The 14,190-nt window shown below is 43.9% G+C and overlaps 1 long non-coding RNA gene across 1 annotated transcript in view; it reads right to left on the reverse strand.

Moving 5' to 3' along the window:
• LOC105369911 (uncharacterized) overlaps positions 1 to 12,803 on the reverse strand; it is a 48,642-nt gene extending 35,839 nt beyond the window's left edge. The window contains exon 1 of the long non-coding RNA NR_135017.1: positions 12,742 to 12,803. This is a non-coding gene — a long non-coding RNA (uncharacterized LOC105369911). The remainder of the gene's footprint in view (positions 1 to 12,741) is intronic.
• Between the last annotated feature and the right edge of the window lie 1,387 nt (positions 12,804 to 14,190).

A 14,190-nucleotide genomic window follows, 5' to 3' on the forward strand; every position in this document is an offset into this window, starting at 1 on the left:
AATTTGATCTTTACAAATCTGGAGATAACCAAATCATTTTTCGGATTTAAGTGAAGACACTCTCCCTGCTAAAACAGCACTTTTCTTAGATTCATTTCTAGAATTGCATTGGTAATGCATGAAAGTAGTATAAATGTGTTGCTAACCCATCTGCAGATGGTGGTTCTCTTTTTAGTAAACATGCAGGGGCTGTAATAGCACTGTTTAGAACAAATGGGGCAGGTTCTCTGATTAAGACTGATCGCAACGAATTTAACCATTTCTCTACATTATGAGGAGATGGGAATTGAAAGCAATCACTTCCTTTTGATATATTTCCTTAATATTATTTAGATTTCACCCTTGAGATACAAATGCTATAAGTTATTTCAGCCTTCTGAGCACAGGCAAGTTAGATGGCCAGCATCCAGATTGGATAAGAGAGGAAAAGTGGCTTAAATGCAATCTCTTCCATTGCAAACTCCCAAACTGTGAAGGACAAAGTCCAGTTTAGAAAATACAAATGGCAGTTTCTCTCCAAAGACTCTTGGAGGTTTTCTAAATAGATCCCAGAATTCCAGGAATTTATAAGAAGAGGACCTCAAGTATCGTCCAGAGCACACAGGAGAGCCCGTGCTGGCTCTAGTGTGAAAACCAATCACACCTCAGTACAATCTCCTTCACCCTCATAATGAAAAGGAATATGCCCTGACTGCCATTTCTCATTTACTTTATTTTATCGTGTTGTTTTTTCCTTAAAAAAAAGAGAGAGAGAGAAAGAGAGACAGGGTTTCCCTATGTTGCTCAGGCTGGTCTTGAACCCCTGGGCTCAAGCAATCTGCCAGCCTCAGCCTCCCAAAGTGCTGGGATTACAGGTGAGAGCCACCACACCCAGCCTGTGTTGTATTTTCCTAACAAAATAAGTTTGTTGTAGAAAAGTAGAAAATAGTCCACTGTGAAAAGTTAGACAAAAAGATACATAAAACAAAGAAAAAAGAGGAGGCAAGGAGAAAAGAAGAGAGAGAGAGAAAAAGAAAAAAAGAGAGAGAGAAAGAAGGAAGGAGGAATGAATGAAAGGAAGGAAGGAAAAAGAAGGAAGAAAGGAAGGAAGGAAGGAAGGAAGGAAAAGGAAGGAAGGAAAAAGAAGGAAGGAAGGGAGGGAGGGAGGGAGGGAGGAAAAGACCCAGTGATTCTACCACCCAGAGGTAACCTCTATGGATTTTGGGTACATATCTTTTCAGTGTTTTTCAGTAGATCCATGTAGTATTTTTTCTGAGAGGAATCCTACTCTGAATAGGGTATAAGAATATGATGCTGGGTGCTATGGTGCATACCTGTAATCCCAGCACTTTGGGAGGTTGAGGCAAACACTTGAGGCCAGGAGTTCAAGGCCAGCCTGGGCAATATAGCAAGACCTCATCTCTACAATTTTTTTTTTTTTTAATTAACCAGGTGTGGTTGTGCAACTATAGTCCCAGCTACTTGGGAGGCTGAGGCTGGAAGATCGCTTGAGCCCTAAAATTTGAGGCTGCAGTGAGCTATGATCACGCCACTGCTTTCCAGCCTAGACAACAGAGAAAGACCCTGTTTCAAAAAAAGAGATATAAGTCTAATCACTTAGGTAATTTAATTTATCTTATAAGCCTGTATTTACTTGCAGGATAAAAAAGTAATTTAGTTCAGAGTTTCACCACCACCCTTTCCCAAGGCCCCAAAAGGTCACATCTTTGTAAACCAAAAATAAAATTCTAAGCCCCACCACAACCATCTGAATGGACTTCTTCTTCAGTCAGGGCACTCTTGAAATTTAACCCGAAAGACTGGTTCCAGCCATGATGGGAAGTCGGGGTCGGACGTGTTTCATTATACCTCTCCAGCATTAACATCAACGCAGACTCTAAGTTGGCTGAGAAACATTGTACAACCTATTCTCTCTGAAGCCTACTACCTGAAGGCTTCCTCTGCACATAAGAACTTTTGTCTCCACAATCCTTTATCTTAACCCAGACACTTCCTTTCTATTGATCCCAGGTCTTTAGATAAATACAACCAATTGTCAACCAGAAAATTTTTAAATATACCTGTAGCCTGGAAGCCCCACTGCTTCCAGTTGTTGAGCCTTGCTGAACAGAACCAATGTATTTCTTTTTTTTTTTTTTTTTGAGATGGAGTCTCACTCCGTCACCCAGGTGGGAGTGCAGTGGCATAATCTCGGCTCACTGCAACCTCCACCTCCTGCGATTCTCATGCCACAGCCTCCTAAGTAGCTGAAATTACAGGTGCCTGCCACCATGCCCAGCTAATTTTTCTGTATTTTTATCAGAGATGGGGTTTCACCATGTTGGCCAGGCTGGTTTCGAATTCCAGGCCTCAAGTGATCTGCCCGCCTCAGCCTCCTAAAGTGCTGGGATTACAGGCATGAGCCACTGCTCCTGGCCCAATGTATTTCTTAAATGTATTTGATTGAAGTCTCATGTTTCCATAAAATATATAAAACCAAGCTACAGCCTGACCCCCTTGGGCACATGTTCACAGGCCCTGTTCACTCATATTTGGCTCAGAATAGATCTCTTCAGATATTTTACAGAGTTTGACTCTTTTGGTCAACGTCTTCATTCCTGGGTCCAGATGCAATGTCAAGGCATCCAGGACCTGATGCTGGGTCCTCACCTCCCATGTGGTCATCTCCTTGTCTCTCCGATCCTCCACCTGGCTGGTGCTCAGAACACACAGCACTGTTGAGACCTGCCTTGTTCTAACTGCTGGTCCCTCCAGGGCCCCCTCTCTTTCAGCTGTGTCTGTATCTCTCTTGAGTCCTCCTCAGCTGCAAGAAACTCAGTGAGCTTGTCCGAGGCCCTGCTGATTGCATAGCACTCTCAGATACATAGGTCCATCTGCCACAACCAGGCCACACTAGGGCCCAGGACATGCTCCCTGATTACTGAAAGCCCTTCCGGCACACAGGCAGCTCATCTCTGGGTCATTTCTTCTTCCCGGTCTTACCAAGAAAATGCAGCCTTCCCTTCTACAAATGTCCATGTATTTGAGAAAAGAAAAACGCTCAGAGCAATTTGAGCTCTGTGAGGTATGCCGGCCTGGATAGACATAAGTATGAGACATCAATCATCCTCCCCCGGCGTCCCCCACTTCAATCATCCTCCCCCAGCATCCCCCTTCACTTGGCAGACAATTGTTTAAAATTCATGTTCTTGGAAGTTGTGGCACAAAGAACAGCATATCATAAATAACCTAACCAATAGCTATGTTATTTTCATGTAAATTCTTGGTAAACAAATCAGGAACTGCCTCTTCCTTTCCTTTAAAAACCCACTTGTAACTGTGGCTATTTATTCAGAGTATTTATTCAGGGCATCTTGAATCTATGCTCCTGGGTTGCAATCCTCAAGCTTGACCTAAATAAACTCTCTATTTATATTAATTTTGTCTCAGCTTCTTCCTTTTAGGTCAGCATATTCATAAGCTCTCCAATTATTTTACCCCTCCACCCAGTATCTGAAGGCATGAGAATCTGCTTGAGCCCGGGAGGCATCTGAAGAACATTTATAAGAATCTTTTCTCTTTCTCATAGGATCTTCCAAATCTATTGTTCATGCTCTGAATTTTTGTTGTAATTGTTGTTGTTCTTCCCAAGGGCTCAACTTTTAAAAGCCAGGGCTTGGCACAGTGGCTCATTCCTGTAATCCCAACACTTTAGGAGGCTGAGGCTGAGGCTGAGGTGGGAGGATTACTTGAAGTCAGGAGTTTGAGGTTACAGTGAGCTATGATCATGCCGCTGCACTCCAGCCTGGGTGACAGAGTGAGGCCCTCTCAAAAAACAAAACAAAAATGTCTTCTTGCTGTTCAATTTAATTGCTCAGACTGAAACGGTCTTTGCAAAAATTATAACCATGAGAAAAGTATGACAATAAAAGGCATCTGATTTAAGCAACCCTTATCTTGCCTTTAGCCTCCCAATTGCCCTTAATCATTCCTGGTCTTGGGCCAAACTAACTTTGAGAGACATTTAGTTTACAGTGTAAATGATAATAGCCCTTCCCCAGTACTAAACCACCTTTGTAAAGTTAGTGAAAGACCACAAAGTTAGGAGGATGAGAGGAACCTGAATTCTGCTAAGGTGTAAATGATTACCAGCCGTTAATTCCAGAGGTCACAAGTTTTGCAACTTCCCCAATTACTCCTGCAGATAACATCACTCTTGTAGAATCTAAGTTTGGCCTTTTGAGATGTCTTCTCAGGTTTTTGCATTTCTGATGACTGATGGCTCCACCTGGACCTGCCAACTGCTCCTGTGGCCCCCACCCAGGGTCCAGACTTAGCACCCACAAGGACCATTCTCCACACCCCTATGATTGCATCCCCAGCCAATCAGCAGCACCCATTCCCTGGCCTGCCAAACTATTCTTGAAAAACCCTAGCCTCTGAATTTTTGGGGACACTGATTTGAGTAATAAAACTCCAGTCTCCTGTTCAGTTGTCTCTGCATGAATTAAACTCTCTATTGCAATTCCCCTGTCTTGATAAATTAGCTCTATTTGGGCAGTGGGTGAAATGAACCTGTTTGGGTGATTGCAAGGCAAAAACTCAAAATGGCCTCATTCGAAGAGTGGAAGGGCCATAGGAGGAAATGAAAAAGCAGGAAAGCAAAAGAACACCAGCTACAATTTTAGAATGGAGTCCCTCGAGTTGTGCTTACAGGACTGTAGCTCCTGTATTACTCCTAGGGAGTTAACTGGCACCAAGGTGGCAACAGGCACATATCTGGAGGAGGTGAAAAGTAGAATGACATTTGCTCTAATCAAACATAAAGGAGGAAAGAGCTTTCTAAGAGAGGCTATGGTGTCCCTTAGGTGTTGCTTGTACCTAAGTCCTGCTGTTGAAGCCTTTGCTTATGTAGATGCAAACACACAGGCACTTCCCTGGATCTAGACTTTGCCCTCTAAAGCCCAGAACAAAGGTGTCCATCCATGAAGAACCAAGTTTTCTTATCTCTCACCCTCACTGTGGGGATGGAGTGGAGGCGAAGGAAAGGGGGGAGAAAAGGAAAGCCCTTGAGCGCAATAATCTAGAGAGAAATGTACTTTCTACCAGCAATGTAAGTATGATTTATGTGACTCCTCCCAGCTAGGCTCCTTTTATTTCCTCGAGTTGGAAATGCAGACCAGAGGTTTGTACTTATTTTCTGTCCCAGAAGGCAACTGTCTTGGTAGAGGAAGGTTTGATATTGGTCCAGGATCTGAGGTAGAGATCACAGCCTTGAGACAATGCCAAGGCAGCCAATTAAGAAGGTGTTGACAACACTTTCCAGGAACAATTTTCTAGATGCTTAACTTTGACCGAAGGTTTAAGCTTCTAATAATCCCCAGGAAACACACATTTTCCAGGGAATAGTGCCTGGACTCTTAAGAACTTCCAAGAAACTTGGGTTCTCAGAAGACTGCAGCCACCAAGCACACACACCCATTCAAGAGCTTTATGGAAAAAACAAAGGTGATATAAACTAGATTTCCTCACATGCCCGGGGAGAGTTGGACAAGTAAAGTCACAAAAGAAGTGATTTAGGCCACTACATTGTCCTTGGGAAACTAGAACTTACCCTACCCTCCCTTCCTTTAACCACTGGCCATAACAAGGCTGGAAAGCCACAGTCTGTCAGCCCAAATTGTTCAGGTTAGTGCTGGTCAGGCCTTGCTTCTTTCATCTGGGATTTTTCTCGGCATCCTTGCTCAGCTGAATATCACTCAAAATTATCACATACTGCTACTAAAAGCTGAAGCATATATGCCCATCAACCCAGCGACCTCACTGGAAGTCCTGCAAGGTAGGCATCCATCTCCATCTTACAGATGAGAAAACTAAGACTCAGAGAAACTAAGGGATTTGCCCAAAGTTCAGTGCAAGTACAAATTAGAGCCTGGTTGTTCTGATTCACACTTGAGAATTTCCAAGACTAGGTAAGAGCAACAGAAGACCTTGGCCAGGGTGCTGGGGAGGGTCCTGCTGCTCCCAGCATTAATCCTTCAGTGACTACATCCTGGGGAGGCCTGGAACTGGCTGGAGTGGGAGGAACAGAAAGGAGGCATGTGGAGGTCTTGGGACAGCAGCCTTTTATCAACTCTCCCAGAAGTGTTTCTGTAATTTTACAATCAGTGCTGCCAACGTGGTGCCCAATGGCTGAATATCAGCCCAGTCATAATTACATTAATCAAGAAATAGAATAGTGGGATAAAGATGGGAGGAATGAACTCCATTTGGGTGGGAAGTGGAAGCATTAACAACAGGGTCCACCAGACCATCAGAACCACAGAGGGGAAGGGAAGGGCATTTCAGGGAGAAAGAAGAGCACAAAAAGGCTGGTGGCAATAAATGAAAACAGGGCCTACAACCTGTTTTCTGTGGTCAACTAAGGAGGTGAAGTTAGGGGTTCAGAGGGTGGGGAGGTCAAACATTTATGACAGATGAGACTGGAGGGACGTAGAGACCTGGTACATGATGTCTTGACTGGGAATTCTGATAAAACCATTTTTTGTTTGTCTTAGACATGTAGACATTCTTGGGTTATTTCTTCACTCTAAAGCATAAATTATTGAATCTTTGAATAAAAATTTTAACCAAGTATTATGTATAATGAACATCTTCATCCCACAGAGACCTCCATTGTGTCCTCAGTGCCTCACATGCCCACTGAGGCACAGGGTCCCACTGGCCACTTCCTATCGGGCTTGTCTTACAACTGCATTTCACCTCCCAACAATCTTGCTGGAACTGGATTTCTTTGCAAAACACCAGACTGCTTAGATGAGTGCCTGACTTTTGCCTACATAGTCCCAGGCCTCTTCCCTGGGGCTGGATACTTGCTACTCCCCTTTCTCAACCAGGGGCTGCAGATTTGCTGTGAATGAAAGTATCATTCAGAATCACACCATGAATTCCCAACTGCCTTTAACACCACTTTCACCTGGATTCCCACTGGTTCCATTGATCTGCTGATTTGGATTCCCTTATATTACCAAGGCCTGCAGGTAGGACACCTGAGGTCAACATGGGTGCTCTAAAATGTGCTTCCTGCTATTCCCCTCAGAGGTCGGGTGCCATAACCACGTGAATTTCTTCAACTCTCCGTTCCTGTCTTGCAGAATCCCAAATATCCGAAGTGCCCTGCTCTTTCCTGCTCACCCTTGTTAATGGAGAGCCATCATGCATTGTGCAAGAGTCCCATGATGTGATAACAACAAAGAAAAGCAACTTAAGTTGTGCTTATCTCTACAAGATGTCCAACTCTCAGTGCAAATATTTAGACAGGTTTGGTCTTCGTGAATTTGATCGCTCTTGAAAGAGAGGATGTACAACGCTCTAGACAGCCAAATGGAGACACAAGCTCAGTGCAGGCAGGGGTCTGCTGAGGGGGTCTGTTAAACCCCTGTATCATCCGTTCTCACACTGCTATAAAGATATTACCTGAGACCAGGTAATTTATAAACCACAGCGGTTTAATTGACTCATAGTTCTGCATGGCTGGGGAGGCATCAGGAAACTTGCGATCATGGCAGAAGGAAAAGGAGAAGCAGGTACCTTCTTCATAAGGTGGCAGGAGAGAGACAGAAAGAGAGAGAGAGAACAAGAAAATGCAACACTTTAAAACCATCAGCTCTTCAGAGAACCCACTCACTATCATGAGGACAGCATCGGGGAAACTGCCCCATGATCCAACCACCTCCCCTGACACGTGGGGACTACAACTGGATATCAGATTTGGGTGGAGACACAGAACCAAACCACATCAGTCCCTATCTGTTTTAACAGATTTTGTTTTTCCTGCTCATTTTAAACCCTGGTGACCTAGGTTTATCAACTCAAGAGTAGAAATAAGGCATAGTAGAAAAAGGTCTTGAGGGTTGTGAGGACTGAATTCTAGTCTTGACCATATGGACCTTAAGCAAGCTGGGTTACTCAGCCTCAAATACCTTCTCCTTCTATAACTTTAGTTTCCTTAGCCTTAAGAGGGGACTGGGGGCTTGACCCCTTACTAAGATGGTGATTCTCATTCTTCTAGTGCTTGCAGCACACTTTCAAATAAAAGAATGTGGATAGCACTATTGAAAACTTTAAAAGACTGAAAACAATACAAAAATGTCAGCAGTCACTAAGTACAATGCTGACTGTAATACAACAGTGTCTCCCAGTTACCATAAAATTATCCACAGTTATGGCTCAATAGCTGACCAGCTTCACTACTTCATGGGTTCTTTGAATGGAATGGTTTACAGCCCTGACCATACTCTCTTATATACCCCAGAGTCAGAGGTTTCCCACATTCTGGAAGCTCTGCAATCCTTCATTAGCCTTGGCTTGACAACACACCCATATCCCTTAGAGCACATTTGTTCCAAGTCACGCAATCCACACATCTCATTGTTGTATCAGACACATGAGCCGAAATATTGAGGACTCAGATGAACCCAGACTGGTTTTATATATTAACAAAAATTGGGCTAAATATTGAAGATGACTGCTCCAAGGGCATGCCAGCTAAAAAGTTTTATAGTTCTATGAATTAAAACAATAAAACATTTTGAGAAAAGAAAATCTAGTTGAGGTAGAGTATTTAATTAAGGCATTGAGTCTATGTCAGTTAAAGAAGGAAATCCTTGTTGATAAGACAGAGAGCTCTGAGGGCTTAAAGGGGCCCCAGTGAACCTACAGAGTTTGAAGGGCATTGTCAGAAAAATGAATGGAATAAATCACACAGAATATGGGTAGTAATGAGACAGAAGTTCAGCTTCTCTCTGTTTCTAACAGGTATATATTTTTTAGAAAGTAGCATTTAAAGTTTTTTTTTTTTTTGTAGTAGGAAGCAATTATTTTTATGTTCTTAGAGATTATTATTTTGGGGGTACTAAACTATTGGCTCCATTGTATTCCTATAAATTATTTTTCATTTCCTCTAATGCTCTTTCCAAACATCTGTTAGTTTATTGTTCTGGGCACAGAAAATTATGATCAGTTTAGTAGTTGCATAATACAGATTCAGATTCGTTTGTCAAGGACTGGAAAAGATCACAGCACTTCAGAGCCAGGCAGCAAATGGATCAAAGGAAATCCTTATTTCGTATACTATAGGGTGAGATTTATCTTTAAATATCAAAAAATGGACATTTGGAGTTTATATTATTATCATAAAAATACTGTTCTGCTTCTGAGAAAACAAGCTACCCAGCTAACAACCTGCACTTGTGCCAAGAAATGAGGTGGGTGTGAGTAACGAGGATGGTGATTTTTCTTTTCCTCTCTAGTGAGCCTCATTCAATGGGTCAATGAGTTTACTTTAGTGTCTTCTCTATGCCAGACATGTGCTCGATGCTGGGGACGCAGAGATGAGTGAAAACAGACAAGGTCCCTGCCCGCATCTAGACCAGCTGGGAAGACAGGCAACTGTGTAAGCAATTGCCTTAAATTGTAGTGAGTGTTACAACCAAGAGCGTAGACACACAGTGGAAGGCCCATAAAGGGAGATTTAACCTGGCCCAGACATCCAGAACACCTCAGTGAACGAACACCTGGGGGACAAGCAGAAGTTAACGAGTGAAGTCTGGGCCATGGAAGAGTGGGTCACAAAGAAATGAGATAAGGGAGGGCATGGTTCCCAACAGGAAGTGAGTGGCAGTTCAGTCTGGGTGAAAGACAGAATATAAGATGATATTGTGAAGATGCTAGTACTGAGAGGGATGCAGTAGGCAGGTCACACAGGGCCCTGGAAGCCACATTAGTTTATCTAGGAACAATGGGAAATCGTTGGGAAACTTTAGAGAGGACGCTAGCATGAGTGGATTTGTGTTTTTGAAGAATCCCTGGAGAGGACTGGTAAAAGTGTATGTGTCTGTGTGTGCATAATACACAGACTTTTACCAGTCCTGTCCGAGATGTACATGCTCACATACACACTAGGCAATCAGAGAATCTATCTACAAAGCCATTTTCCCTTTCCATTATCCATCCACAAACTTGATGGCTTTCAGTTGAGGAATTGAAATAGGGTTCTCCACTTGAATAAGATGAGTGAGTAGGGGTTCCTTGCCAATAGTAGGGGCTTGATTTCCATTTCACAGATGTTGAGAGACAGTTGTTTCTTCAGTAGCAGTATATTTTTTACGACACTGTGCCCATGGCAGGTGTTTGGCCAAAACTACCTCCAGTGCACTGCCCGGCATCTGTCCTCCTCCTGAGAATCCCTCTGGAGGCACCTTGCTCCTTTCTTTCTAATCTTCCTTTTCTTCCTCTCCAGATCTGGAGACTTTCATCAGCCCTAGGCGAGGGGCAATATGGACAACATTGGTGTTTGGGCTCCAAGCTACTTTTTATGCCCAACTTCTCTTCCTTCTGATTTCTTTCCATTTTATAGCATTCTCATCTCTCCAGTTACACCAACTGGCCCCACATCTCTAAATATTATCAGAAGTCTTTAAAAAATGACCCAGAGCATTTTTTTCAGCTTCTCCTAGTTGTCTATCTCCTCTCTTCTTCTGACCCCTGTTAGGGTTGCGTGAAAACTAGCATTACAATATTTCTGTTCCATCTATACCTGATTACCATAAAGTGCAATGACTATGCACATCACTGTGTTGGATTAATCTGGGCTAAGTTTTATTGGTCACTATGTCATATTCATGTGGTTACTGATGTAACCTGGCTGTTTTTATACACTGTGATCAAAATCTAGGGCAGTGATCATAATCAAGGCATAAAGTAGGGACCAGTCTGCCTCGTATCTCAAAAACTGTGCAGTATTAAGATGACTGTTGGGCTTCTATTAAAGGTAGCTGTTGGCCGGGTGTGGTGCCTCATGGCTGTAATCTCAGCACTTTGGGAGGCCAAGGCAGATGGATCACCTGAGGTTGGGAGATTGAGACCACCCTGACCAACATGGAAAAACTCTATCTCTACTAAAAATACAAAATTAGCCAGGCATGGTGGCGCATGGCTGTAATCCCAGCTACTCAGGAGGCTGAGGCAGGAGAATTGCTTGAACCCGGGAGGTGGAGATTGCGGTGAGCCAAGATTGCACTGTTGGTGGCTTCCTGGAAGACATCATGTTGAATGAATGAAGTCATGAGTAAATAAACGGAATGTGGAGCTGCACTGCCAGAATTAACCCCCTGAACAAAAGTAAAGAGCATCCCAAGTTCAATGAGGAGTACCCTGGGTAAACAAGGAACTCCTGAGAGATGAAAAAATCCAAGTGCCTGCGCTCTACACTGGGACTTTGGTTAACAGGGCAAGGAAGAGAGCTTTTGGAGATAATACTTGATGATGCTATACAGTGTCCCCTTAGTCTCTGAGATTCTTATCCCAAGTAACCCAAAGAAGGGAGATAAAAAGGAAAGAGCAGTCTCCCATTTGGAAGTCAAAAAGGCATTATAATCTCTTAGGAGTACACCCTCTCCTAAATTCCAGGGCCTTGGCAGGGAAAACACTGATATTCATGGCAGCCAAAGAAAATGACCATATCAACTGAACCAAGAGGACACAGCAGCAGCAGAGATCAAGAGGGACAGTGGCAGTTGGACTGTAGCAGTAGTTACAGAGGAAGGGAGTAAGCCACACAAGCAATTCTGGAATAAAGGGAAATGGCTTGAGGGCCTTGCAATTGCAATGATCTCCTGGGGTTGAAGCTTAAGTTCATTCACATTGTGACTGTCACCAAGGCTTTAGGTCATTCATTTAGTTTTAGTACCTCATTTACATACCATCTGTGTGTCAGGCACAGTGGCTGTGTTGGCCTAGGCCAGGGGTCAGTGAACCTTTTTTGTATAGCTCCAGAGAGTAAATATTTTAAGTTTCATGGGCCATATGGTTCCTATCACAACTACCTAACTTTGCTGTTGTAGTGCAGACACAACCACAGACAATGAATAAACAAGAATTTGCTTATTGGATGTGTTCCAATAAAATTTTTCTTATAGAAACAGGTGGTGGGCCACATTTGGCCCATGAGTCTGCTGAGGCTCAGAAAATGATCCCCAGTGTGAAGGCCTCAGAAACAGCCTCAGAAGTAAAGTCTCTTTTGGACCTTCTCCTGCCCTCCTGTCTCTCGCCTCTCATTCTCCCTGAGGCTAGCCATAGAAATAAGAATTCCTCTTCCCCAAGGCAGGTCACAGAAACCAGAACCCCTTCTCCAAAGCCAGCCGCAAAACCTAACAATATTACTCTAACTTTCTCCCTCCCTTTTTGTGTGGGAGTTGGCCATGAAGAAACTCTCTGACCTGGGCCGGTGCGGTGGCTCACTCCTGTAATCCCAGCACTTTGGGAGGCCAAGGCAGGTGGATCACGAGGTCAGGAGATCGAGACCATCCTGGCCAACATAGTGAAACCCCATCTCTACTAAAAAAATACAAAAATTAGCCAGGCATGGTGGTGCATGCCTATAATCCCAGCTACTCGGGAGGCGGAGGCAGGAGAATCCCTTGAACCAGGGAGTTGGAGGTTGCAGTGAGCCAAGATCGCACCACAGCACTCTAGCCTGGCGACAGAGCAAGACTCTGTCTCAAAAGAAAAGAACTTCTCTGACCTGCCTTGTCTGATTGTAGGTCATAAGCCTCCCATTCCAGAAAGCGTCCTGTCCCATATCCAGAAAGCGTCCTGTCCCATATCCAGAAAGAAGCAATGCTGCACAGAGAGGCCAGGAAGAACCTGAAAAGACAGGCCTTGCTGGGTCTCCCCACTCAGTCTATTCCCATTAGCTCTTACCCTTTTTATCCAGTTGCAGGCCTACACAGCTGTCCATTCTTCATCAAACCCCAGCATAAAAATGGACAGTTTTCCCCATGTATTTTTGTCTTCACTCTGAAGGATCCCATGTCACATAAAACTATGTTTAAAGAAATTTGTTATGAGTTTCTCTTGTTAACCTATCTTTTGTTAAAGGAGTGTTGGCTGTGGCCCTTATGATGGGGAGGAGAGGGATCACTCCCTTTCCACCTTTACAGGCAAGAGTTTGCCAACCCCTGATTTACAGGAACAAAGTGTGCTAGTTATTTTGTTGCCTTTCAGATCAAATCCACAGACTCCTTCTACCCTGCCCTTTATTCCAAGAGGCTGCCCTCTGCAGACTATGATACCCAGGCTCCTTGCCTTCTGGCTCCTGGTTAGGCTTGGGTAATCAGAAGCATGAGAAATGAATCAGAAGTTGGGAGGAGAGAGGGGTGGAGAAATGTTGTCACTCTACACCCTCCCTTCTGGGCTGGGCTGTGGCAGTGGCTGTGCTCGTCTATATCTGGTCACAGCTCTGCCTGGTGGCCCATACCCATGGCTACACCTCTCACTCCGTTCCCACAACAGCTCCTTCATCATTCACCTTCAGCCCTAGGGGGTTGGAACTAGTGTCCCCCTGTTCCCAGCCCTACATGCTTCTCTATCCTTTGTCTGTTTCCCTTCGTAAAACTCTCTTCAATTGCTCCTTTGAGTGTGCCATCTATTCCCTGCCGGACAGTGTTTGAATACGCCCTCGTGGTGGACATTCACTGTTTTTAGATGTAACGGTATTGTTCCAACCTCAGATCCAGGACGGGATATGTAATCTAGACATGGCCAATTAGGGCACTGAATCACTCAAGCCACAGTAGTTGGTTCTGGAATGTTCACATGAACCAAGTTGTTTCTTTTTCTTTTCTTTGTCTTGCTCTGTCACCCAGGCTGGAGGGCAGTGGCATCATCTCAGCTCACTGCTGCAACCTATGCTTCATGGGCTCAAGCGATTCTTGTGCCCGCCTCAGAGTAGCTGGGATTACAGGTGTGCACTACCATGCCTGGCTAATTTCTGTATTCAGGTTTTTCCGTTGGAGGAAATACTAATACTTACATAGAAGCCACCAAGAAGTGCCATCTATTCCACTGAATTTGAACCTAGAAGAGTAAATTTGAAGCTTCCAGAAGCTACTATGTGAAGCCTGAGGACAAGGCCCAACATGAAAGAAGGCAAAGTCCAGAGGTGGCCTTGTATGAGTCCTTGGAACTGGCTGAAGCTAGCTCTGCTCATCAATGATTTGTCAATGAGACAGTAAAATTCCTTATTTTTTTCCTCAAGAAATTCTGTCACTTGTATTCAAAAGCAAAACTTATTTCTTAAAAAAACAAAACCCTTAACTACTTTATACCAATGTATTACATTCTCTGGATTATCTAAGCAAGGGGCCAGTC

This window comes from Homo sapiens, chromosome 12, assembly GCF_000001405.40.
Source record: "Homo sapiens chromosome 12, GRCh38.p14 Primary Assembly".
In the NCBI taxonomy this organism is placed as follows: domain Eukaryota; kingdom Metazoa; phylum Chordata; class Mammalia; order Primates; family Hominidae; genus Homo; species Homo sapiens.